Source organism: Homo sapiens, chromosome 19, assembly GCF_000001405.40.
Source record: "Homo sapiens chromosome 19, GRCh38.p14 Primary Assembly".
Taxonomy (NCBI): Eukaryota; Metazoa; Chordata; class Mammalia; order Primates; family Hominidae; genus Homo; species Homo sapiens.
The window spans coordinates 32,686,657-32,714,068 of record NC_000019.10 but is presented as its reverse complement, the minus strand read 5'-3'; the positions used below and the strand labels follow the sequence as shown (position 1 = coordinate 32,714,068).

At 46.4% G+C, this 27,412-nt stretch overlaps 1 protein-coding gene and 2 long non-coding RNA genes across 3 annotated transcripts, besides 2 other annotated features; 2 read left to right on the top strand and 1 right to left on the bottom strand.

Moving 5' to 3' along the window:
• Positions 1-276: 276 nt before the first annotated feature.
• On the bottom strand, positions 277-22,248 carry NUDT19 (nudix hydrolase 19). The gene is made up of 3 exons (NM_001105570.2): positions 21,395-22,248; positions 4,677-4,884; positions 277-2,317 (listed from the first exon to the last, which is right to left on the bottom strand). The coding sequence occupies exons 1-3, from the start codon at positions 22,106-22,108 to the stop codon at positions 2,112-2,114; spliced, it is 1,128 nt and encodes a 375-aa protein (NP_001099040.1). The 5' UTR covers positions 22,109-22,248; the 3' UTR covers positions 277-2,111.
• Positions 13,712-14,911: an enhancer, noted in NCBI's record as "BRD4-independent group 4 enhancer chr19:33190064-33191263 (GRCh37/hg19 assembly coordinates)". NCBI's record gives its function as "activates an origin of replication core promoter dependent on BRD2, P300/CBP, MED14 and CDK7 cofactors, and independent of BRD4, by STARR-seq in HCT116 cells {active_cell/tissue: HCT116}" and the evidence as "EXISTENCE:reporter gene assay evidence [ECO:0000049][PMID:35650434]".
• Positions 13,922-21,104, top strand: LOC124904690 (uncharacterized). The gene is made up of 2 exons (XR_007067226.1): positions 13,922-14,384; positions 19,975-21,104. It is a non-coding gene; the product is annotated as an uncharacterized LOC124904690 (long non-coding RNA).
• NUDT19-DT (NUDT19 divergent transcript) lies at positions 21,773-26,978 on the top strand. Its single transcript, NR_186320.1, has 2 exons — positions 21,773-22,706; positions 26,801-26,978. It is a non-coding gene; the product is annotated as an NUDT19 divergent transcript (long non-coding RNA).
• Positions 21,876-22,285: a silencer, noted in NCBI's record as "silent region_10486". NCBI's record gives its function as "represses an Ori minimal core promoter by ATAC-STARR-seq in GM12878 lymphoblastoid cells {active_cell/tissue: GM12878}" and the evidence as "EXISTENCE:reporter gene assay evidence [ECO:0000049][PMID:35858748]".
• Positions 26,979-27,412: the final 434 nt, after the last annotated feature.

Sequence of the window (27,412 nt, the reverse complement as noted above, 5' to 3'; positions counted from 1 at the left end):
ACCATTTATTTAAAAAAAAAAAGATTTTACTTTAGATTGGGTGTCTCATCCTTGGTCAGGTAATTCTTTGCTATGGGTGAGACTGCGCATTGCAGGCTGTTCAGTTGCATCCCTGGCCTCTCCCTACTACTAGATGGTAGTAGCATACTCCCCCACCCACCCACTCTGCCCACAGTTTCAACAACCAAAAATGTTTCCAGACATAGCCAAATGTTCCCTAGGGCAAAAGTGCCCAGGCTGAGGACTGCTGTGCTAGATATAGTTCTCTAATCTGGATTTAATCATACACATAAACTTTATTCATCATTGTCTTTATGTTATAGTAGGAAAATTAAGGCATTTCATAAAATATGAAATCAATTGTACAATGCATGATACAGTCAAAGATCTGGACATGGAATTGGTGTCTTAACTATCATTTCTCACCTTTAATCAATAAACATTATTCCTCTTGAAAGATGATGAAAAATTACTCATATTAAATACAGTAAAAATAAACATCATTAATCAAACACTACATTTCTAACCTCTTTACATTCATTAACAGTGTGGAATACAAACAATGATGGTTTTTGTTATGGCTTTGTGTTTCTTTAAAATGCTAACTAGGCCAGGCGTGGTGGCTCAAGCCTGTAATCTCAGCACTTTGTGAGGCCAAGGTGGGCAGATCACCTCAGGTCAGAAGTTCGAGACCGGACTGGCCAACATGGTGAAACCCCGTCTCTACTAAAAATACAAAGATTAGCTGGGCATGGTAGTGGGTGCCTGTAATCCCAGCTACTCGGGAGGCTGAGGCAGAAAAATCGCTTGAACCTGGGAGGCGGAGATTGGAGTGAGCTGAGATTGCGCCATTGTACTCCAGCCTGGGCAACAGAGCGAGACTCTGTCTCAAAAATAAATAAAATAGAATAAAATAAAATAAAATGTTAACTAAAATCGATTTCTAATTTGGGAAACATAATAACTAATACCATTTGATTTTAAAAAGAATTGTATCTTAATCATTAAGCTAAAGACATAGCAAGAAAACAATGACATGGTCACTTGAAGGGTGTCTCAGCCAACTTTTCATCATCTAATAAGACACCCTTAAAGTAATTCCAGCAGAAAGTCTCAGAAATTCATTGATCAACCTCCAAAGCACATCAGGGAAGGTGCTAATACAGTGGATAACAAGAACAATAAACAGCAGAACATGTTATTTAAATTTTTGAGATAATAAAACAATACAGAAGTAGGAACCCTTGTGAAATTATGTTCTGGTTTTGGGTAATGAGATCATTAATACGTTATAAACTTTATACGTGTGGCACACTGTAAGGATTAAAGAATGGAATAAGCAAGCGAGCTCCCTAAAACACCTGATATAAGAAACACCATGCTGGGCACAGTGGCTCACGCCTGTAATCCCACACTTTGGGAGGCCAAGGCGGGCAGATCATGAGGTCAGGAGATCGAGACCAGCCTGGCCAACATGGTGAAACTCTGTTTCTACTAAAAATACAAAATTTAGTGGGGCATGGTGGTGCATGCCTATAGTCCCAGCTACTCAGGAGGCTGAGGCATGAGAATCGCTGGAACCTGGGAGGTGGAGGTTGCAGTGAGCCGAGATTGGGCCACTGCACTCCAGCCTGGGTTCTGGGCAAGAGTGAGACACTCTGTCTCAAAAAAAAAAAAAAAAAAAAAAAAAAAGGCTGGGTGTGGTGGCCCACACCTGTAATCCCAGCACTTTGGGAGGCCAAGGCGGGCGTATCACGAGGTCAAGAGATTGAGACCATCCTGGCTAACACGGTGAAAACCCGTCTCTACTAAAAATACAAAAAAAAATTAGCTGGGCATGGTGGCGGGCGCCTGTAGTCCCAGCTACTCGGGAGGCTGAGGCAGGAGAATGGCATGAACCCCTGAGGCAGAGCTTCCAGTGAGCCTATATCATGCCACTGCACTCCAGCCTGGGCGACAGATTGAGACTCTGTCTCGAAAAAAATAAAGAAATACTGAATTGCAGTAACTTTTATAGGCACAAACTTCCTTAAGTTTCAAGCAAATGAAAGTCAACCCTCATTATTCATGAGGACTTCAAGTAGGCCATTTTACAAACAAGCTTAAGCACCCTACAAATGGCTTTTTCTTACTACAGAGTTCTTAGGATAAACGTGTTTATACTTTGGCTGAACAGTCACGTGGATATCATAAAGGTGGCGATGGTATGTCACTATCCGGTGAAACTGCTTGCCTTCCTTCATGATTTCCTCAGTCTTTTTTTCAGTAGACATAAGATTTTCCAAAAAGTCTGAATCTTCTAAATATAGCTCATCACCTGAAAAAGGAAAAAATCTGATTTTATTTTTAAATACAAAATTATTTTTCACCATGGCAGAAAGTATAAAATTTTAATTCCATCGAGTATTATTTTATAAATCACTCCAATATACTAATGAAATACAAATCAGTATTTTTATCTATTTCATATGTTTGGAACTGAGATAGTTGTTAAATCAGTATTTATTTTGATCTATTTAATATGTTTGGAACTGAGATAGTTGTTAACTAATCTAATTCTATGAGCTTACCTCAATTTCTTTATTGTGTTTTTTTATCTGTTTTTTGAGATGGAGTCTCACTCTGTTGCCCAGGCTAGAGTGCAGTGGCGCGATCTCGGCTCATTGCAACCTCCACCTCTTGGGCTCAAGCAATTCTCATGCCTCAGCCTCCCGAGTAACTGGGATCACAGGTGTCTGCCACCACGCCTGGTTAATTTTTGTATTGTTAGTAGAGACAGGTTTCGCCATGTTTACCAGGCTGGTCTCAAACTCCTGACCTCAAATGATTCACCCACCTCGGCCTCCCAAAGTGCTGGGATTACAGGCGTGAACTACTGCGCCTGTCCTCTTTCTTGTGTTTTTAATATCCCCTTACAACACCCCAGCCAAGAGTTTTCTTTGGGCCCATAAACATCTGTGACTGGTATGTTTCCACTGTGAACTGTAACTATTATACCAGTTCATGACTCTCTTTATTCTATTCAATACTGATATTAAGATTGGCCTTGATATTCATATACTTTTGATGTTTCAAAGTGGGCTGTTCTTATCATCTTCAGGTTAATTTAGAGAAATTCCATCAAAACTGCTAAATTTTCCCACTGTAGGTTGAGTAATAAATCTTTTTTTTTTTTGAGATGGAGTTTCGCTCTTGTTGCCCAGGCTGGAGTGCAATGGCGCAATCTCAGCTCACCACAACCTCTGCCTCCTGGGTTCAAGTGATTCTCCTGCCTCAGCCTCCCAAGTAGCTGGGATTATAGGCATGCGCCCCCATGCCCAGCTAATTTTGTATTATTAGTAGAGACGGGATTTCTCCATGTTGGTCAGGCCGGTCTCGAACTCTCGCCCTTAGGTGATCCACCCGCCTCAGCCTCCCAAAGTGCTGAGATTACACGTGTGAGCCACCGCGCCCAGCCTTTTGTTTTGTTTTGTTTTTGACAGAGAGTGTCGCTCTGTCGCCCAGGTTAGAGTGCAGTGGCATGATCTTGGCTCACTGCAACCTCTACCTCCTGGGTTCAAGTGATTCTCCTGCCTCAGCCTCCTGAGCAGCTGGGATTACAGGTGTGTGCCACCATGCCTGGCTAATTTGTTTTTTTTTTTTTTTTTTGTATTTTCAGTTGAGATAGAGTTAACATTTTACTTTATTTTCTTCATAATTTCATAATTCATAATTTCAATTGAAATTATGTCCAACTGAAAAAAAAAAACAAAGTTGGCTGGGCACAGTGGCTCATGCCTATAATCCCAGAATTTGGGGAGGCTGAGGCGGGCGGATCACCTGAGGTCAGGAGTTCAAGACCAGCCTGGCCAACATGGTGAAACCCTGTCTCTACTAATAATACAAAAAAATTAGCCAGGCGTGGTGGCACATGCCTGTAATTCCAGCTACTCGGGAGGCTGAGGCAGAAGTATCGCTTGAACCCAGGAGGCAAAGGTTGCAGTGAGCCCAGATTGCACTCCAGCCTGGGTGACAAGAGCAAAACTCTGTCTCAAAAAAAAAGCTCCCTAATTCAAATTAGATGACAACTTACGAGTTCTCGTAATTCAAACTTAAAATGCAAAAAAGTGAGAAATCAGCCAGGCATGGTGGCTCATGACTGTAATCCCAGCACTTTGGGAGGCCAAGGCGGGTGGATCACAAGGTCAAGAGTTCAAGACCAGCCTGGCCAAGATGGTGAAACCCCGTATCTACTAAAAAAAAAATACAAAGATTAGCCGGGCACAGTGGTGGGCACCTGTAATCCCAGCTTCTTGGGAGGCTGAGGCAGAGAATTGCTTGAACCTGGGAGGTGGAGGTTGCAGTGAGCCAAGATTGTGCCACTGCACTCCAGCCTGGGTGACAGAGGGAAACTGTCTCAGAAAAAAAAAAAAAAAGTGAGAAATTATATGAGAAAGACCTTTGTCAATGTCTAGGAAATATATTAATATAAATGTATGTGTATGTATATGACATTATGCAGAATTTCTGGTTATAATAATATGGATATTTTATAGGCTTTGATCTTACTTAGCTAATACCCTGTAGATTACAAAACACAGACTGTAATTCCTGTCTCTACGTTGGGCAATACAGCCATGCAGCCCAGGGCACTGAATGTGAATACTAACAAAAGCACCGATGCTTCACTGGTTTACCTGGTAAAAGATGGACCATCCCATCAGCAGTTAACAAGATGATCGGCAGCCACCTTTCCAGTCCTTCTAATGCACGACCCAAACAAAATTTGTGCAAGTCAGAGAGAGAGGCAAAGTTTGCAAGTCTTCTCACTTCGTAGAACTGTGGGGGTGGCAACCAAATTTCTTTTGATAAGAAACTTTCAGTTGCCTCTGATGGAGATGACCACTGTGAAAGACAAAGGCAGGGTTTCTTAAGGTTTATGCCATAGACAATGTGAGACTTGAGACAGTCAGACCAGTACCTAAGGTAGAACTGAATGTGTAAAATGAATTCATTAATGCGCCCTGTGAGATCCCTCAAAGACAACATGAAAAGATTCAGTGAAGAAAGCTGGGTTGATCCTCTTAAGAGGTTGCTTATTAGGACACTGATCCTCAGAACTAGTAAATAAACCAGGGCAGACCCCTGAGGCTTGACCTGGGAGAGCTGTTCAGCATAAGAGGTGGGAGATGCAGAGAGGGTAAGGTGGTTCCGGTCCCTGCTGAAAGAAGAAAGACTCTGAAGGGTAAACTCATCACAGTAGATGGAGAATTTGGTGCCTGTTCATTCCTCTGGGAAATGGGTACTTGGCTAGATCCTGAGGATATAATGATGGACACCACAAAGCTCTCCTAGGCCCTATGGGGACTTCAGCAACCAAAATGCTTTGTGATGTGGTGATGTGTGCCACATGGTACAACGGCGGTGAAGCATCAGGAGCAACAGCAGCTTTCAGGAAGTCACCTGGCATGACTCAGCCTACAGTCAAGAGAGTAATAACTTGGTAGGGTTTCAGCCAGGCAGTATTTGCCCGGAAAACTTCAGTGGCTTCATTCTACAACCTCCTCTCCTTCCTGAGCCTTCTTTCCATAGACATTTAGATAAAAAGAGCTGATTCAATGGATATGGAATAACCTCAAAGGTTGTTCTTTTTTTTTTTTTTTGAGACGGAGTCTCGCTCTGTCACCCAGGCTGGAGTGCAGTGGCCCGATCTCGGCTCACTGCAAGCTCCACCTCCTGGGTTCACGCCATTCTCCTGCCTCAGCCTCCCAAGTAACTGGGACTACAGGCGCCCACCACCACACCCGGCTAATTTTTTGTATTTTCAGTAGAGACGGGGTCTCACTGTGTTAGCCAGGATGGTCTCGATCTCCTGACCCCATGATCCACCCGCCTCGGCCTCCCAAAGTGCTGGGATTACAGTCGTGATTTTTTTTTTTTTTTTGACCGAGTACTCTCTGTCGCCCAGGCTGGAGTGCAGTAGCGCAATCTTGGCTCACTGCAACCTCTACTTCCCGGGTTCAAGCAATTCTCTGCCTCAGCCTCCCAAGTAGCTGGAACTACAGGCACCCGCCACCATCGTGGCTAATTTTTGTATCTTTTTTTTTTTTTTGAAACGGAGTCTTGCTCTGTCTCCCAGGCTGGACTGCAGTGGTGTGATCTCAGCTCACTGCAAGCTCTGCCTCCTGGGTTCATGCCATTCTCCTGCCTCAGCCTCCCGAGTAGCTGGGACTACAGGTGCCTGCCACCACGCCCGGCTAATTTTTTGTATTTTTAGTAGAGACGGGGTTTCACCGTGTTCACCAGGATGGTCTCGATCTCCTGACTTTGTGATCCACCCGCCTCGGCCTCTCAAAGTGCTGGGATTACAGGCGTGAGCCACCGCGCCCGGCCTAATTTTTGTATCTTTAGTAGAGATGGCATTTCACCATCTTGGCCAGGCTGGTCTTGAAATCCTGACCTCGTGATCCACCCACCTCGGCCTCCCAAAGTGCTGGGATTACAGGTGTGAGCCACCGCGCCTGGCCATAAGGTTGTTCTTTACTTGGTTTACTAAATATCCACTTATACACCTAGGAGAAACTGATTCTCGCCCCCAAGCCCTGGGATTTGGAATTGATTTCTGCTTTAGATGACTGTAGGTCAAAGGTTTGCAAGCTCGTACATGCTTAAACATTGACTGAGAAGTCTGTGAAGCCTTCACATTCCCAGGGCCCTGGTATGGTGTCCAGCAATCTATGAGTTCAGTGAGTCCCCTAATCATTCTGCAGGTGGCCAAAATGGCATTTAAAAAACAGAGCCCTGGGCCTCAAAGGACCACCCAATCTCTCTATGTTATTTCCAAGGCAACCGTATGAGTTCAGTGATAACAACGAAGACAAAGGGTTAAATGGCAGGCATCAACCCACTTAATCCAACCTGTTCAGGTGAGTCCAGACCACAGGTTACAATACCTTATCACTTACTGATTACTTCTTACTAGTAAAGCATTGTACAAAATGCAATGCTTTCCTGCTGAGTGCAGTGGCTCACGCCTGTAATCACAGCCACCTGGGAGGCTACAATGGGAGGTGAGTCCTACCATGGCCAGGGTTACTGCTTAAAGGGAATTCCCAGACTGCAACCCAAGGAGCAAGAGACTAATCAGAGCCTGGGATTTTCACTGACTTGAGACACAGCTTGAATTTTGGGAAGCCCATACAGCAGAATTTGGGAAGCAGCATACAGTAGTCTCCCCTTATGCAAGAGGAATACTTTCCCAGATCCCTAGTGGACGCATGAAATCAAGGAAGTGCTAAGCCTTATACAAACTATGCTCTTCCTACACATACACACCTATGATAAAATTTAATTGATGAATTAGGCCCAGTAAGATATTAACAATAACTTATTATTATTATCATTTTGAGATGGAGTTTCGCTTTTGTTACCCAGGCTGGAGTGCAATGGCGTGATCTCTGCTCACTGCAAACTCCACCTCCTGGGTTCAAGCGATTTTCCTGTCTCAGCCTCCCGAGTAGCTGGGATTACAGGCATTTGCCACTACACCTGGCTAATTTTGTATTTTTAGTAGAGACGGGGTTTATTCCTGTTGGTCAGGCTGGTCTCGAACTCCCGACCTCAGGTAATCTGCCCGCCTCGGCCCCCAAGGGGTTGGGATTACAGGCATGAGCCACCGTGCTCAGCCAACAATAACTTATAATAAACTAGAACAATGATAACAATTCGTGTAGTAAAAGTTGGTGAATGTGGTCTCTCTCTCTCTCTCCAAATATCTTAATATTTTCAGACCTTGGTTGACTGAGGGTAACTCAAACCATGGAAAGAGAAACCAGGGATAAAGCTGTACCTGAGAGGAAAGACCTACAGAGTAGAGCTCTAGAAATCTGTGTAGGGTGCACTTGAATCTTTGCTCAACACTTATCTATGTATGCATAAGGTGAAACCACATGAGACCAGGAAAGAATGATGCCTCTTTTTTTTCCTATTATTAGTATTTTACTTTATTCACCATTGTATACATAAGGAGAGAATGATTTCTGAAGAAAGAACAATTACCTGAGAGCCTTAAGATTAAACTCCCAGAGGTCACCTGGGGCCAAGGATTATTCGAATTCCTTCCAATCACAGTGGAGAGATCATGTTGAACACAAGCAGCACTCAAGTAGACCTTATGAGGGTCATACATTTAGAAGTGCAGCTAATGACCAGGTGCAGTGGCTCATGCCTGTAATCCCAGCACTTTGGGAGGCAGAGGTGGGTGGATCACCTGAGGTCAGGAGTTCAAGACCAACCTGGCCAACATGGTGAAACTCGGACTCTACTAAAAATACAAAAATTAGCCAGGCATGGTGGCATGTGCCTGCAATCCCAGCTACTCAGGAGGCTAAGGCATGAGAATCACCTGAACCAGGGAGGAGGAGGTTGCAGTGAGCCAAGACCACGCCACTGCACTCCAGCCTGGGTGGCAGAGTGAAAGTATGTCTCAAAAAAAAAAAAAAAGTGCAGCTAAATTAGCTCTAGAATAAAGGCTACTATAGGCCCATGCTAAAATCACTTAAAATCATTTAAAATTAAACCTCAAGACAATTAAGGTAATTTGCAATCACTTAACTGCTTGCTAGGAAATGTCCAATACTCTCTTTTTGTTTTTCTTTTTTTTTTTTGAGACAGAGTCTCGCTCTGTCACCCAGGCTGGAGTGCAGTGCTGTGATCTCATCTCACTGCAACCTCTGCCTCCTGGGTTCAAGCGATTCTCCTGCTTCAGCCTCCAGAGTAGCTAGAACTATAGGCGCCCACCACCATGACTGGCTAATTTTTTTGGTATTTTTAGTAGAAATGGGGTTTCACAATGTTGGCAAGGCTGGTCTTGAACTGCTGACCTCGTGATCCACCCACCTTGGCCTCCCAAAGTGCTGGAGTTACAGGCGTGAGTCACTGCACCCAGCCAAGTTCCAATACTTTTTTTTTTTTTTTTTTTTTTGAGATGAAGTCTTGCTCTTGTCCCCCAGGCTGGAGTGCGATGGCGTGATCTCGGCTCACTGCATCTCTGCCTCCCAGGTTCAACCGATTCTTCTGCCTTGGCCCCCCAAGTAGCTGGGATTACAGGTGCCTGCCACCATGCCCAGCTAATTTTTGTATTTTTACTTGAGACGGGGTTTCACCATGTTGGCCAGGCTGGTCTAGAACTTCTGACCTCAGGTGATCTACCCGCCTTGGCCTCCCAAAGTGCTGGGATTATAGGTGTGAACCACCATGCCCGGCCCAAAGTCCAATACTCTTTAAGGAATGTGACAAGATTCAGCACTCAACAACATAAAGTCACAATATCCAACATTCAATAAAAATTGCAAGACATGATGAAGTGGGAAAACGTCATCCAAAACTAGAAAAAAAATAAGTCAACAGAAACAGACCCAGAAATTATAGCAAGGATTAAGTTAGCAGAAAAGGGCATTAAAAACAATGCTGTAAAGATACAAAGGAAAAGATCAACATGATGAAAGAAATAAAAAATATTACCTGCAAGAGGCTGGGCATGGTGGCTCACGCCTGTAATCCCAGTACTTTGGGAGGCCAAGGCAGGCGGATCACAAGGTCAGGAGTTCGAGACCAGCCTGACCAACATGGCGAAACCCCGTCTCTACTAAAAATGCAAAACTTAGCTGGGCATGGTGGCATGCGCCTGTAATCCCAGCTACTCAGGAGGCTGAGGCAGGAGAATTGCTTGAATCTGGGAGGCAGAGGTTGCAGTGAGCCAAGATCGTGCCATTGCACTCCAGCCTGGGCGGCAGAGCAAGACTCTGTCTAAAAAAAAAAAAAAAGTTACCTGCAAGAGTGGTAACAGACCTCTCCTAAGAAATTTATGCAAACTAGCAAATAAGGGAGCAATATTTTTAGGTACATAAGGAAAAAAACCTATCAACCTAGAATTTTATACCTAGCCAAAGTATCTTTCAAAAACAAAGGCAAAATAGTTATTTTCAAGCAAGCAAAAGTTAGAGGATTCATTGTCACAGGATCTATACTACAAGAAATATTAGAGAAACTTCTTTAGGCAGAAGGATACCAGAGATAGATTTAGAGCTACACAAAGGAATAAAGAGTGCTAAAAATAGTAAATATGTGGCTGGGCATGGTGGCTCATGCCTGTGATCCCAGCACTTTGGGAGGCCCAGCTGGGTGGATCACCTGAGGTCAGGAGTTTGAGATCAGCCTGGCCAACATGGTGAAAACTCATCTCTACTAAAAGTACAAAAAGTAGCTGGGCATGGTGGTGGGTGCCTGTAATCTCAGCTACTCGGGAGGCTGAGGCAGGAGAATCACTTGAACCAGAGAGGCGGAGGTTGTAGTGAGCCAAGATCATGCCACTGCACTCCAGCCTGGGTGACAGAGTGAGACTCCGTCTCAAAAAAAAAAAAAAAAAAAAAAAAAAAAAAAAGGCTGGGCACAGTGGCCCACACCTGTGATCTCAACATTTTGGGAGGCTGAGGCAGGTGGATCACCTGAGGTCAGGAGTTCAAGACCAGCCTGACCAACATGGAGAAACCCCATCTCTACTGAAAATACAAAATTGGCTGGCCATGGTGGGTGCATGCCTGTAATCCTAGCTACCTGGGAGGCTGAGGCAGGAGAATCACTTGAACCCAGAAGGCAGAGGCTGTGGTGAGCTGAGATGGCACCATTGCACTGCAGCCTGGGGAACAAGAATGAAACTCCATCTCAATAAAAAAATAGTAAATATGCAGGTAAACATAAGACATTTTTTCTCATTAAGACTGATGGTCTAGGCTGGGTGTGGTGGCTGATGCCTGTAATCCCAGCACTTTGGGAGGCCGAGGTGTGCGGATTACCTGAGGTTGGGAGTTCGACAGCAGCCTGACCAACACGGAGAAAACCCGTTTCTCCTAAAAATACAAAATCAGCTGGGCGTGGTGGCGTATGCCTACAATCCCAGCTACTGGGGAAGCTGAGGCAGGAGAATCACTTGAACCCAGGAGGTGGAGGTTGCAGTGAGCCAAGATCATGCCACTGCACTCTAACCTGGGCAACAAGAGTGAAACACTGTCTCAAAAAAAAAAATTGATGGTCTAAAGCAAAAATAATCACAGTGTATTGTAGAGTTTATAATAAAAGTCAAATGTATGACAACAATAGCATAAAGGACAGGAGGGAACAAATAAGTATATTGCTGCAAGGTTCTAACTCTATAAACGAAATGAAAAATGTATATTGCAAATTTTAGAGCAACTACAAAGAGACATAGTTAATAAGTTAATAATGGAAATAAAACAGTCATAAGAAAAACAGTACAAATAGATGGGAACAAAAAATGAGCAGTAAGATGGTAGATATGAATCTAACCTTATTGACAATAACAAATTTAAATAAACACTCCAACTAAAAAGCAAAAGTTTTTATATTGGATAAAAAGCAAGACTATATGCTGCCTGCAAGAAACACACTTTTTTTTCTCTTTTTGGAGATGGAGTCTCGCTCTGTCACCCAGGCTGGAGTGCAGTGGCATGATCTTGGCTCACTGCTACCGCTGCCTCCTGGGTTCAAGCAATTCTCCTGTCTCCACCTGTGTGAGGGTTCAGTCAGGCTGGTGGGAAAAAATTTAGTTATAATAGCCAGAAACCCTCTTGGAAGGCCTGAGAGTTGCATAACTTCGGTAACAGATCTGGCTGAAGGCAGCCTAGTCCGCTTACCTTTAATTAAATAAATTAAAGTAGATACAAAGGAATGTGGGGAGTTTATCTAACTAGCTTGTTTACTCATGTGGTCCTAAGACTAACCTTGGATCTACCGCAGGTGCTTAATTGCTTTCTATCTGGGATGTCTGCAAGGTCAATTACCCTCTAATGGTGTTGACTCAAGCCTTTGTCAATTAATCTTTACTGAATAAACATGAGTCTGGCTGGCTGGTCAAGGCCCAGGTCGCAACTTTTTACAGCACTCTCCTGGGAGTCTGTAAGTAGCCCTGATGCTCAGTCAGACTGGCAAAGCAGAGTATCTGTATCAGTGCACGTTATTCATCCATCATTGGGTCAGGGTCTGCAGGACAGACCCCCGCACACCTGGATAATTTTTGTATTTTTAATATAGATGGGGTTTCGCTATGTTGCTGGGCTGGTCTCAAACTCCTGAACTCAGGTGATCAGCCCTCCTTGGCCTCCCAAAGTGTTGGGATTATAGGTGTAAGCCACTGCACCCAGCCAGAAACACACTTTAAATAATAAAGACACAGATAGTTTAAAAGGATAGAAAAATATACTAACATGAATCAAAAGAAAGTCAGAGGGGCTATATTAATATCAAACAGAGTAAACTTCAGATTTCAGAATAAAGATTATAACCAGGAATAAAGAAGGATATTTCATAATCATCAAAGAGTTAATCCATGAACTTTTAAAAGTCCTAAATGTAGATACAGTCAGTACCTTACATGGGAGCTTCAAAATACATGAAGCCAAATCTGATAGAACTAAAAGGTGAAAAAGACAACTCCACAATTATTAGTTGAAGATTTCCACATTCCTCTCTCAGCACCTGATGAAACAAGGAAATGATATAGAAGACTTGCAAGACTGGCCAGGCACAGTGGCTCACGCCTGTAATCCCAGCACTTTGGGAGGCCCAGACAGGTGGATCACCTGAGGTCAGGAGTTGGCCTGACCAACCCAGTGAAACCCGTCCCTACTAAAAATACAAAAATTAGCTAGGCATGGTGGCAGGCGCCCGTAATCCCAGCTGCTTGGGAGACTGAGGAAGGAGAATCGCTTGAACCTGGGAGGCAGAGGTTTCAGTGAGCCAAGATCAGACCACTGCATTCCAGCCTGGGTGACAGAGCAAGACTCTGTTTCAAAAAAAAAAAAAAAAAAAAAAAACCTGCAAGATGCTATGAACAACTCAACCTAATTTTACATTTTTACCAAAATACCAACAAATAGCAGAATACATATTCTTCTTAGGTGCAAAGGGAACATTCACCAAGATAGAACATATTCATGGCCATAAAACAAGTCTCAATAATTTTTTTTTTTTTTTGAGAAAGGGCCTGACTCTGTTGTCCAGGCTGAAGTGCAGTGGTGTGATCATAGCTCACTGCAGCCTCAACCTCCCAGGCTCAAGGGATCCTCTCACCTCAGCTTCCTCAGTAACAGGAACCACAGGCATGTACCACCATGCCCAGCTAAGTTTTAAAATTTTTTCTAGATATGAGGTCTTAGTATGTTACAGTCCAGGCAGGTCTTGAGTTCTTGAGCTCAATTGATCCTCTGGCCTTCTTCTCCCAAAATGCTGAGATTATAGGTATCAGTCACTGTACTGGCCAATAAATTTTAAAAGACTGAAACTGGCCAGGCACAGTAGCTTATGCCAATAATCCCCAAGACTTTGGGAGGCTGAAGCTGGACGGTCGCTTGAGGCCAGGAGTTCAAGACCTCCCTGAGCAACATAGTGAGATCCGGTCTCTACAAAAAATAAAACAATTAGCCAAGCGTGGTTGCAGGTGCCTGTGGGCCCAGCTACCCGGGAAGCTGAGACGAGAATCACTTCAGCCCAGTGAGAGGTGAAGCCAGCTGGACTTCCTGGGTCGAGTGGGGACTTGGAGAACTTTTCTGTCTAGCTAAAGGTTTGTAAATGCACCAATCAGCACTCTGTAAAAATGCACCAATCAGCACTCTGTGTCTAGCTCAAGGTTTGTAAACGCACCAATCAGTACTCTGTAAAAACGCACCAATCAGCACTCTGTGTCTAGCTAAAGGTTTGTAAATACACCAATTAGCACTCTGTAAAAACGGACCAATCAGCACTGTGTAAAATGGACCACTCAGCACTCTGTAAAATGGACCAATCAGCGCTCTGTAAAATGGACCAATCAGCAGGATGTGGGCAGGGCCAAATAAGGGAATAAAAGCTGGCCACCCAAGCCAGCAGCAGCAACCCGCTCGGGTCCCTTTCCATGCTGTGGAAGCTCTGTTCTTTTGCTCTTCGCAATAAATCTTGCTGCTGCTCACTCTTTGGGTTTACACTACCTTTATGAGCTGTAACACTCACCGCGAAGGTCTGCAGCTTCACTCCAAGCCAGCGAGACCAGGAACGCACCAGGAGGAACAAACAACTCCAGACATGCCACCTTTAAGAGCTGTAACACTCACTGCAAAGGTCTGTGGCTTCACTCCTAAAGTCAGTGAGACCACGAACCCAACGAAAGAAACTCCGGACACATCTGAATATCTGAAGGAACAAACTCCAGACACACCATCTTTAAGAACTGTAACACTCACCGCAAGGGTCTGCAGCTTCATTCTTGAAGTCAGCGAAACCAAGAACCCACCAGAAGGAACCAATTCTGGACACATTTTGGTGACCACGAAGGGACTATTACCTATCACTAAGCGGTGAGTGCCTTTGGACCCCTTTCGCTTGCTATTCTGTCCTATTTTTCCTTAGAATTTGAGAGCTAAATATGGGGACATGTTGGCCAGTTAAAAGCGACTAGTGTGGCTGCTGAACTAAAGACACGGGTGTCAGGCTTTCTGGGAAAGGGCTAACAACCCCCGACTCTTCGGAGTGGGGAGCGTTGGTTTGCCTGGAACCAGCTTCTGCTTTTCCTGTACTTCTGGGCTGAGCCGAGGGTCGACAGCGAGGAAAGCCATTCAGCTCCGGGGTCCCGACAACAAGTTGGTTGACCCTGCAGCCATGAATGGAACTCTGAAAGTCACGTCGCACAGGCGAGACTCACCCATCTATCCTATCTATCCTGACCCTTGCCTCCTGGGTCCTAATGCCTGTCAGACAAACTTCCTCTCGCCTTTCTTTGAGGCTAGTCCCACTTCTAAAAACCACTCCATCTCTGGTGCTTTTCTAGTTTCTCCTGTAAGAATGATTTCTAGGATAAACTTCAGGACTCTGTTACCTTCTTTAGACACCCGGGCTCACCAATCAGAAAGACACAGTTTTTGCTCAAAGCCCCATCGTAGGGGGGATTATCTGGAATTTTAGAATCCCTCCTCAGAAAAGCAGGCCTAACAAAAGCTATTCCTGAAACTAGGATATCGGGAGCCTCAGAAATTGTATCCTTCCTATTCATATAACTGGGGATAAAAGGCTTCACTCTTCCAACTCTGGAGATCCCTTCCCTCCCTCAGGGTATGGCCCTCCACTTCATTTTGGGGGCATAACATCTTTATAGGACATGGGTAAGGTCCCAATACTAACAGGAGAATGCTTAGGACTCCAACAGTTTTCCAAGAATGCATCAGTAAGGGCCACTAAATCTGATTTTTCTCAGTCCTCTTTGAGGTCTAGGAGGACAGGAAAGGGCGCAGGTTTTCGAGAATGTGTTGGTAAGGGCCACGAAATCTGACCTTCCTCATTCCTCCTTGTGGTCTAGGAGAACTAGTGTTTCTGCTGCTGTGTCAGTGAGCACAACCATTCTGATCAGCAGGGTCCAGGGACTGTTGCGGGTTCTTGGGCAGGGGTTGTTTCTGCTGCTGCGTTGGTGAGCACAACTACTCCAATCAGCAGGGTCCGGGGACTGTTGCAGGTTCTTGGGCAAGAGGTGTTTCTGCTGCTGCATTGGTGAGCACAACTATTCCGATCAGCAGGGTCCAGGGACCGTTGCAGGTTCTTGGGCAGGGGGAGAAACAAACAAACCAAAACCACAGGCGGTTTTGTCTTTCAGATGGGAAACACTCAGGCATCAACAGGCTCACCCTTGAAATGCATCCTAAGCCACTGGGACCAATTTGACCCACAAACCCTGAAAAAGAGGTGGCTCATTTTTTTCTATACTACAGCCTGGCCCCAATTTCTCTCTCTGATGGGGAAAAATGGCCACCTGAGGGAAGTATAAACTACAGTACTATCCTGCAGCCTGACCTTTTCTGTAAGAGGGAAGGCAAATGGAGTGAAATACCTTATGTCTAAGTTTTCTTTTCATTGAAGGAGAATACCCAAGTATGCAAAGCTTGCAATTTACATCCCACAGGAGGACCTCTCAGCTTACCTCCATATCCTAGCCTCCCTATAGCTCCCCTTCCTATTAATGATAATCCTCCTCTAATGTCCGCTGCCCAGAAGGAAATAAGCAAAGAAATCTCCAAAGGATCACAAACGCCCCCTTCCCGGGCTATCGGTTATGTCCCCTTCAAGCTGTAGGGGGAGCGGAATTTGGCCCAACCTAGGTACATGTTCCCTTCTCCCTCTCTGATTTTAAGCAGATCAAGGCAGACCTTGGGAAGCTTTCAGATGATCTTGATAGGTATACAGATGTCCTACAGGGTCGAGGGCAAACCTTCTATCTCACTTGGAGAGATGTCATGCTAGTGTTAGATCAAACCCTGGCCTTTAATGAAAAGAATGTGGCTTTAGCTGCAGCCCAAGAGTTTGGAGATACCTGGTATCTTAGTCCAGTAAATGATAGAATGACAGTTGAAGAAAGGGACAAATTCCTTACTAGTCAGCAAGCCGTATGTCAGTAAGTCAGTATGGATCCCCACTGGGACCTCGACTCAGATCATGGGGACTGGAGTCGTAAACATCTGCTGACTTGTGTTCTAGAAGGACTAAGGAGTATTAGGAAAAAGCCCATGAATTATTCAATGATGTCCACCATAACTCAGGGAAAGGAAGAAAATGCTTCTGCCTTCCACGAGCAGCTACGGGAGGCCTTAAGAAAATACACTCCCCTGTCACCCGACTCACTTGAGGGTCAATTGATCCTAAAAGACAAGTTTATTACCCAATCATCTGTGGATATCAGGAGAAAGCTCCAAAAGCGAGCCCTGGGCCCTGAACAAACTCTGGAAGCATTATTAAACCTGGCAACCTCAGTGTTCTATAATAGGGACCAAGATGGACAGGCCCAAAAGTAAAAGTGAGATAATAGAAAGGCCGCAGACTTAGTCATGGCCCTCAGACAAACAAACCTTGGTGGTTCAGAGGGGACAGAGAATGGAGCAGGCCAATCACCTGGTAGGGCTTGTTATCAGTGTGGTTTACAAGGACACTTTTTAAAAAAAAGATTGTCCTATGAGAAACAAGCTGCCCCCTCGCCCATGTCCACTATGCCGAGGCAATCACTGGAAGACACACTGCCCCAGAGGACAAAGGTTCTCTGGGACAGAAGCCACCAACCAGATGATGCAACAAGACTGAGGGTGCCCAGGGAAAGCACCAGCTCATGTCATCACTCTCACTGAGTCCTGGGTATGTATAACCATTGAGGGCCAGGAAATTGACTTCCTCCTGGACACTGGCGTGGCTTTCTCAGTGTTAATTTCCTGTCTTGGAGCTGTCCTCAAGGTCTGTTACCATCCGAGGAATCCTGGGACAGGCTGTAACCAGGTATTTCTCCCACCTCCTCAGTTGTAATTGGGAGACTTTGCTCCTTTCACATGCCTTTCTTGTTATGCCTGAAAGTCCCACACCCTTATTAGGGAGGGATATATTAGCCAAAGCTGGAGCTATTATCTACATGAATATGGGGAACAAGTTACCCATTTGTTGTCCCCTGCTTGGGGAGGGAATCAACCCTGAAGTCTGGGCATTGGAAGGAACAAACTCAAGCTCTAGCCTTAAGCCTTCCCACAGGACGAAACTTTTCTTTAAACGTCACAGAGAGAGCAGGAATAGCTCTTGGGGTCCTTACTCAGACTCATGGGACAACTCCACAACCAGTGGCATACCTAAGGAAACTGATACAGTAGCAAAAGGCTAGACTAACTGTTTAGGGGTAGTTGTGGCAGTGGCTGTCTTAGTGTCAGAGGCTATCAAAATAATACAAGGAAAGGATCTCACTGTCTGGACTACTCATGATGTAAATGGCAAACTAGGTGCCAAAGGAAGTTTATGGCTATCAGAAAACCACCTGCTTAGATACCAGGCACTACTCCTTGAGTGACCAGTGCTTCAAGTGCATACATGTGTGGCCCTCAGCCCTGCCACTTTTCTCCCAGAGGATAGGGAGCGGGTCAAGCATGGCTGCCAACAGGTAGTAGTCCAGACTTATGCCGCCTGAAAGGATCTCTTAGAAGTCCCGTTAGCTAATCCTGACCTTAACCTATATACCGATGGAAGTTCATTTGTGGAAAATGGGATACGAAGGGCAGGTTATGCCACAGTTAGTGATGTAACCGTACTTGAAAGTAAACCTCTTCCCCCAGGGACCAGCACCCAGTTAGCAGAACTAGTGGCACTTACCCGAGCCTTAGAACTGGGAAAGGAAAAAAGAAAAAACGTGTATACAGATAGCAAGTATGCTTATCTAATCCTACATGCCCATGCTGCAATATGTAAAGAAAGAGCGTTCCTAACCTCTGGGGGAACCCCCATTAAATACCACAAGGAAATCATGGAGTTATTGCACTCAATGCAAAAACCCAAGGAGGTGGCAGTCTTACACTGCCGAAGCCATCAAAAAGGGGAAGGAGAAGGGAGAACGGCAGCATAAGCGGCTGGCAGAGGCAGGGAAAGACCAGCAGAGAGAAAGAGGCAAAGTCAAAGACAGAAGGAAAGAGAGGAAGAGACAAAGGAGTCAGAGAGAAAGAGATAGAAGTAGTAAAGAAAAAACAGTGCACCCTATTCCTTTAAAAGCCAGGGTAAATTTAAAATATATAATTCATGCCTGTAATCCCAGCACTTTGGGAGGCCAAGGCGGGCAGATCATGAGGTCAGGAGTTTGAGACCAACTTGGCCAACATGGTGAAACCCCGTCTCTACTAAAAATACAAAAATTAGCCAGGTGTGGTGGCGGGCGCCTGTAATTCCAGCTACTCCAGAGGCTGAGGCAGGAGAATTGCTTGAACCCGGGAAGCAGAGGTTGCGGTGAGCCTAGATCATGCCACTGCACTCCAGCCTGGGTGACAGGGCAAGACTCCATCTCCAAAAAAATAAAAATGAAAAATAAAACCTACAATTGATAATTGAAGGTCTTCTCTGTAACCCTGTAACACTCCAATACCACCTTGTTGTCAGTGTAAACAAGGGCATAGCCCAAAAGCACTGAGGCCACTGACAACCTGTAGCCTTCCTATCAAAAATCCTTAACCCAGCAGGTTCCTAACAGGGGATCTAAATCTGAAGGTCTGACCAGACATAGGAGGAACCCCCTTCAGGACAGGATGATAGATGTTTCCTCCTGGGCGATTAAGGAAAAAGACACAATGGGTACTCAGTACGTGATAAGGAAACTCTTACAGAAGCAGAGTTAGGAAAATTGCCTAATAATTGGTCTGCTCAAATGTGCAAGCTGTTTGCACTCAGCCAAACCTTAAAGTACTTACAGAATCAGGAAGGAGCCATCTATACCAATTTTAAGTGAATATGGACTGAACGAGGTCTTATTAATAGCAAAGAATAATTGAAATCCCAAACTTAAGGTTTTCAACAAAAGTAAAGTTTGCTAAAAGTTAACAGTGTAACACATATTATCCTAACTTCTAATCTTATGGACATCAGACCCTATCAGTGCCCCTCAAAGCTCAAGTCCATCAGCACAGGGCCATACAACTGATACCCCTACTTATAGGGCTAGAAATGGCCACTGCTACAGGAACCGGAATAGCCAGTTTATCTACTTCATTATCTTACTACCACACACTCTCAAAGTATTTCTCAGACAGTTTGCAAGAAATAACAAAATCTATTCAGTAAGGATAGTAACTACAATCCCAAATAGACTCTGGCAGCAGTGACTCTCCAAAACCCCCGAGGCCTAGACCTCCTCACTGCTGAGAAAGGAGGACTTTGCACCTTAGGGGAAGAGTGTTGTTTTTACACTAACAAGTCAGGGATAGTGCAAGATGCCGCCCGGCATTTACAGGAAAAGGTTTCTGAAATCAGACAACGCCTTTCAAACTCTTATACCAACCTCTGGAGTTGGGCAACATGGCTTCTCCCCTTTCTACATCCTGTGACAGCCGTTTTACTATTACTCGCCTTCGGGCCCTGTATTTTTAACCTCCTTGTCAAATTTGTTTCCTCTAGAATCAAGGCCATCAAACTACAGATGGTCTTACAAACGGAAACCCAAATGAGCTCAACTAACAACTTCTACCGAGGACCCCTGGACCGACCCACTGGCCCTTTCACTGGCCTAGAGAGTTCCCCTCTGGAGGACACTACAACTGCAGGGCCCCTTCTTTGCCCCTGTCCAGCAGGAAGTAGCTAGAGCAGTCATTGCCCAATTCCCAACAGCAGATGGGGTGCCCTGTTTAGAGGCGGGATTGAGAGGTGAAGCCCCTGGACTTCCTGGGTCCAGTGGGGACTTGGAGAACTTTTCTGTCTAGCTAAAGATTTGTAAATGCACCAATCAGCACTCTGTAAAAACGCACCAATCAGTGCTCTGTGTCTAGCTAAAGGTTTGTAAATGCACCAATCAGTACTATGTAAAAACGCACCAATCAGTGCTCTGTCTAGCTAAAGATTTGTAAACGCACCAATCCGCACTCTGTAAAAATGGACCAATCAGCACTCTGCAAAATGGACCAATCAGCAGGACATGGGCAGGGCCAAATAAGGGAATAAAAGCTGGCCACCCAGCCACCAGCACCCAACCTGCTCTGATCCCCTTCCGCTGTGGGAGGTTTGTTCTTTTGCTCTTTGCAATAAATCTTGCTGCTGCTCACTCCTTGGGTCCGCACTACCTTTATAAGCTGTAACACTGACCACAAATGTCTGCAGCTTCGCTCCTGAAGCCAGCGAGACCACAAACCCACCAAGAGGAACAAACAACTCCTGACGCACCACCTTTAAGAGCTGTAACACTCACTGCGAAGGTCTGCGGCTTCAATCCTGAAGTCAGCGAGACCACGAACCTACCAGAAGGAAGAAACTCCAGACACATCTGAACATCTGAAGGAAGAAACTGGACACACCATCTTTAAGAACTGTAACACTCACTTCGAGGGTCCGCGGCTTTATTCTTAAAGTCAGCGAGACCAAGAACCCACTGGAAGGAACCAATTCTGGACACACCAGGAGCTGGAGACGAGCCTGGGTGTGCAACACAGAGAGACAAGACCCCCATCTGTACCAAAAATAAATAAAAATAGGAAGACTGGATCATATTAAGTCTGTTCTCCAAGAAAACCAAATTAAACGGCTGTGGAGATGTACTATGTCTACACATGTACAAGTGCTTACACAGTGGCCACGCTGGAGGAACCACGTGGAGAGACAGGCTCCAGGCCTTGAGACCCCAAAGCCTAGGAAAGCAGAGAGCACTTCACCAAGAGCATGGCTTTGGTCTACAGGGGTGAGAGTTTCCAGCCCGTCTAAGCGTTCCTTGCTGCTTAATCTCTCTGGGCTTGGCCTATGCGGGGGTCCCTTGGGGGCCTGGGCCGCTGGGAGGGGTCCTCCCTCTCACGTCCTGGCGGTCCGCAGCAAGGCCCTGAGCAGGCCTTACCTGGTAGCCCACCACCTCCGCCAAGTCGGGGTAGACGGGCGGCGGCTCGCGCAGGCAGCACAGGAAGAAGGCCGTGTCAAAGCGGCGAGTGGTGCCCCGCAAGAAAGGGGTGAGCCAGGCGCTCCAGTTGTGCAGCGCCCAGATGTCGGGTGTGCAGTCGAGGTGGGCGCACAGCCGCAGGAAGTGGCGCGGGTCCTGGCGCACGCGGTCGCGCCAGGAGGCCAGGCCCGGCGGTGGCTCCAGGGCGAGGCCAGGCCCGGGTGCTGGGCCTGGTGGGGAAGTCCTGGGCCGCAGCAGCAGCACGCCCGCCTCCTCAAAGGCCTCCCGCACGGCGCAGATGCGGAAGGCTACGTCCTCAGGCAGCGTCCCAGTGTTGTCGGTCTTGTGGTCATCGGTGTCGGGCAGCGACGGGAAAGCGGTGCGGCTGAATGGCGCCGGGCCCAGGCCGAAGCGCGGCGGCCCGTGGTGCGGCGCGAAGAGGCCCAGCCAGTCCGCCGAGCGGTCGGCCGCATCCAGCACTCCGCCGGAGAAGACGTGCGCGCCCGGCATGAAGCCTTGGTGCGGGGAGCGCTGCAGCAGCAGCAGCCGGAAGCCCTCGGCCGGCGGCGGGCGCGACGGCGGGGTGGCGGTCTCCGGGCGCGACCAGCCAGCCGCCAGGACGATGCTGGCCGCCCGCCGCCAGCGGCTGGGGCCCGGCCGCAGGGAGCTGCTCATGGCGCGCAGCTTCCCGGATCCGATTCTGGCGCGGCCTGAGCTCCACGGCAGGTGGCCCGGCCCTGCAGGGACCCCAGCACCTCCGGGGGCCTCGCGGGAATTGAGGACGAGCCTCTGGCGTTGGGTGAACCTGGGCGTTTGGTCGGCAACGGCGCCTGCCTGTGGGAGGGGCACCCGAGCAGGGACCGCCTCGAGTGCACTGGGGCCCAGCTAGGGCACTCTCGCGGGACAATGGGTGTCACGGCAGCCAGCGACCGTTTGTCATTCACAGCTGCCTGAAAGGAGGACCGCAGTATTCCCACGCAGGAAGCTTGGACCAAAAGCAGGAATGCTTAAGGGCGCATATGACTTGCCATGGTAAAAAACAGGATGCCAACCCAGGCCTGATGACATCCACCTCACTAAAAGCTAAGGACTAGGACTTTCTGCTTTAAACAAGGACCCACATGTGGGTGTTTTCTGTGGGAGAGGGAGAGAGGACATTCGAAGGGCAGAAGTCTGACCTTTGCAAGCACACGTGAACCACACCAATGAGAAATGAATGGACGAGCCAGATGCCAATTTATAAATTTCCTACTGCACACCTTGAATGTGAAAGGTACTCCCAGAGTAATTTCTCTCGTGTTCTGGTTACCTTTTATTGTCAGGGCGCCTGGGGACGGCCTTAGGTGTCTTAGGACATTTGACGAGTTCCACTTTGATGGGAGATGTTTAATCTGGGCCTCCACATGGAGATTTCTCTCCACCTTGTTAGTGTCTAGAAGACTTCCACCTCCAATAGCAGGATTATGATCTTTTGAAAAGCCTGTGTAAATTTGAGTCTTTTCTTTTATAACTCCTTATCAGTCACCGACAGCTTTTCCCATAATTGCTATTATAATTGGATCACACATTTGTTATGTTTTTGGATGAAATACACTATACCCCTGCCGACCCTCACAAACCATCATTTTAATGTGGGTTATTTCCTGGGTAGAATCCACAGATGACATTGTCAATATTTAGGGGTTTTGTTTGTTTTTTTGTTTGAAGAGACCTGGTCTCTGGCCAGGCGCTGTGGCTTACACCTGTAATCCCAGCACTTTGGGAGGCCGAGGTGGTCGGATCACCTGAGGCCAGGACTTCAAGACCAGCATGGCCAACATGGCAAAACCCCGCCTCTACTAAAAATACAAAAATTAGCTGGGTGTGGCGGCCCGCGCCTATAGTTGCAGCTACTCAGGAGGCTGAGGCAGGAGAATCACTTGAATCTGGGTGGAGGTTGCTGTGAGCCAAGATCCTGCCACTGCATTCCGGCATGGGTGACAGAGCGAGACTCTGTCTCAAAAAAATAAATAAATAAATAAAATAAAAATACAGAGCAATGGAGAGAAAGGCACTCAGGTGATTAAAGTAACATGTCTTCAATACTAGGAGTAATAATAATCCTAGGGGATAATAATATTAGTAGTTACTGGGTACAGTGTGTGAGGCACTAGGAACTTTATTAGTATTAGTTGTGTAATTCTTACAAAACCCCATGAAGTGGAAACAGTTACCACTATTTTACAGATGACTAACCATTTATGGAGGGATTAAGGGTCTTAAGAACATACTACTCCCTTTGCTGTAAAATAACACCGTGGTTTTGTAGGTGAATGTGTGTGTTTCAACATCAGCTGGTTTTCACAGAAGCTGGTTACTCATGAGTGAGATGACCAAGTCCTGGTCCTGGGTGCATAGCAAAACAACAGAAACTGAACCTTTTTTTTTTTTGAGAGGGAGTCTGGCGCTCTCACCAGGCTGGAGTGCAGTGGTGCGATCTCGGCTTACTGCAATATCTGCCTCTCGGGTTCAAGCAATTCTCCTGCCTCAGCCTCTGGAGTAGCTGGGATTGCAGGCGCATGCTACTACGCCTGACTAATTTTTGTATTTTTAGCAGAGACAAGGTTTCATCATGTTGGTGAGGCTGGTCTCTAACGCCTGACCTCAAGTGATCTGCCTACCTCAGCCTCCCAAAGTGCTGGGATTACAGGTGTGAGCCACCACACCTGGCAGAAACTGGACCTTAACCAACACAGAACAGTGTCCAAAATGTGCACACTGCCATGACTGTCATATTTGGGGCACTGAGATGACACAATTACAGTTTATGGATTCAGAGATCATGTCATATAAACTCAGTTATCTGAACTGTAGCCAAGAAATGATACAGAAGCAAAGAACTATCCATGAGCATTCAAAGAGATACAGATATCATATTCATATCTAAAGTGCTCTGCTCACAGGATAATTTGTGGATATGTTATTTACCTAATGCTGTTAACAAATTAGTCAAAAACTTGGTGGATTAAATCAATAAACACTTATTGTCCAGGCATGGTGGGTAATGTCTGTAACCCTAACACTTAGGGAGGGCGAGGCGGGAGGATAACTTGAGGCCAGGAATTCAAGACCAGCCTGGGAAACACAGTGAGACCCCTCCTCTTAAAAGAAAATTAGTGGGGAGGTGCAGTGGCTCACGCCTATAATCACAGCACTTTGGGAGGCCAAGGTGGGCGGATCACAGGTCAGGAGATCGAGACCATCCTGGCTAACACGGTGAAACCCCATCTCTACTAAAAATACAAAAAATTAGCCGGGTGTGGTGGCAGGCGCCTGTAGTCCCAGCTACTCAGGAGGCTGAGGCAGGAGAATGGCAAGAACCCGGGAGGCAGAGCTTGCAGTGAGCTGAGATTGCGCCACTGCACTCCAGCCTGGGTGACAGAGTGAGACTCCGTCTCAAAAAAAAAAAAAAGAAAAAGAAAATTAGCTGGGTGTGGTATCACATGCCTGTAGTCCCAGCTACTCAAGAGGCTGAGATGGGAGGATCGCTTGGGCCCAGGAGTTGGAGGCTGCAGTGAGCCATGATCACGCCACTGCACTCCGACCTGGGTGACAGAGCAAGACTCTGCCTCAAAAGAAAAAAAAAGATGGGGCACAGTGGCTCACACCTGTAATCCCAGCACTTTGGGAGGCCGAGGTGGGTGGATCACCTGAGGTCACAAGTTTGAGGCCAGCCTGGCCAACATGGTGAGACCCCGTCTCTACTAAAAATACAAAAAATAAAAATAAAAATTAGCTGGGTGTGGTCGTGGGCACCTGTAATCCCAGCTACTCGGGAGGCTGAGGCAGGAGAATCGCTTGAACCCGGGAGGCAGAGGTTGCAGTGAGCTGAGATAGTGCTACTGCACTGCAGCCTAGGTGAGAGAGCAAGACTCTGTTTCAAAATCAAAAGCAAAACAAAACAAAAAAAACAAGAAAAACAAACAAAAAACAATGGACATTGATTATCCCACCTTTTCTGTTGATCAGGGATTAGGGACCACCTCCATGTGGTGATCCTAACTCAGTATCTCCCATGAGGCTGTGATCAGCATGTCAGCCAGGGCTTGTCCAGCACTGGGAGATCCACTTCCTCAATGGCTCACTCACATGGCTGTTGGCAGGGGGCCTAGTTCCTTACCGCATGGATCTTTCCATAGGGTTGCTTCAATGTCTTCAGGACTTGGTGGGTAAACTTCTCCCAGAAAGAATGATCCATGAGAGAGGAAGAAGCCATGATGCCTTTTATGACTTAGCCTCAAAAGTTACACTTCAGGCTGGGCACAGTGGCTCATACCTGGCAATCCCAATACTTTGGGAGGCCAAGATGTGTGGATCACCTGAGGTCAGGAGTTGAGCCCAGCCTGGTCAACAGGGTGAAACCCCGTCTCTACTAAAAATACAAAAATTAGCTGGGTATGGTGGCGCAGAAGAATTGCTTGAACCCAGGTGGCAGAGGTTGCAGTGAGCCAAGATCATACCACTGCACTCCATCCTGGGCGACAGACTTAGACTCCATCTCAAAAAAAAAAAAAAAGAAAAGAAAAGAAAAAAGAAAAAAAACCTTTTTAAAAATCATTCTGAGAAATTATTTTTAGGTGGTTATTCATTTTTTTTTTTTTTGAGACAGGGTCTCACTCTGCGGCCCAGGTGCAGTGATGCTATCACAGCTGACCAGAGCCTGGACACCCCCAGGCTCAAGTGGTCCTCCCACCTCAGCCTCCTGAGTAGCTGGGACTACAGCACCACAACGGGCTAATTTTTGTATGTTTTGTAGAGATAAGGTTTTGCTTTGTTGCCCAGGCTGGTGTTGAACTCCTGGGCTCAACCAATCCACTTGCCTCGGCCTTGCAAAGTGCTGGAATTACAGACATGAGCTAACGCAGCAACATGAGCCTTTATTTTTATGAGGAGTCTTGCTCCTGTTGCCCAGGCTAGAGTGCAGTGGCATGATCTCGGCTCACTGCAACCTCCGCCTCCTGGGTTCAAGCCATTCTCCTGCCTCAGCCTCCCAAGTAGCTGGGATTACAGGTGCCTGCCACCGCATCTGGCTAATTTTTATATTTCTAGTAGAGACAGGGTTGCACCATCTTGGCCAGGCTGGTCTTGAACTCCTGACCTCATGTGATCCACCCGCCTTGGCCTCCCAAAGTGCTGGGATTACAGGCCTGAGCCACTGTGCCTGGCATTTTTTTTTTTTTTTTTTTTTGAGACAGGGTCTCACTCATTCTGTCACCCCAGGCTGGAGTGCAGTGGCATGATCTTGGGGAAGGCTGGTCACCCCACCCTAATCTTATCATGCAAATGGGCTTTCCAGTTGATTGGTGTCATCTTGTCTGCTTCTTACAGTACATGTGGCCGACAAAGAGAAGGGAAGATGGAGCCGCCATCTTCAACAGGAGTGGCACAACTGTCGGATCTATGTCTGCAGCTGGATTTTACAGGCTGCTCTTCGTTAGAAAGGAAAACTTTACGGAGGACTTCCATGCCTTCACTATCTGCCTAAGTAAATTCTTCTTAACTCCTGTACCAGTCTCAGCCTCATTTTGTCCAGCCCCTATACAAGATGGAGTTGCTCTGGTTCAAACGCCTGACACAAACTTGCTCCAAAATAAACATGGGTGATGTATGTTACCTGTATGTTTACCCATTGCACATGTGGTCAACCCCCTCATAAATATGTACAGCTTTCCCCCAAAACCTGCTGAATATGACTTTCTTGTGTAATACAGACCCTGGGATGCATAAAACCCAACCTGCCCTTTCCCTCTTTGAAGAGAGAGACCTTTACAAACTGATATCCCATGGTGTTTTGGATGAGAACTACAAAGTGACATGGGGGAGCTTTTTAGGGGTGATGGAAATGTTCTATATCTTCTTGGCTGTAGTAGTGTTTACATTATTGGTACATTATTGCACATGTTTAGAGTGAATTTAACTGTGTTTACTTTTTTTTTTTTT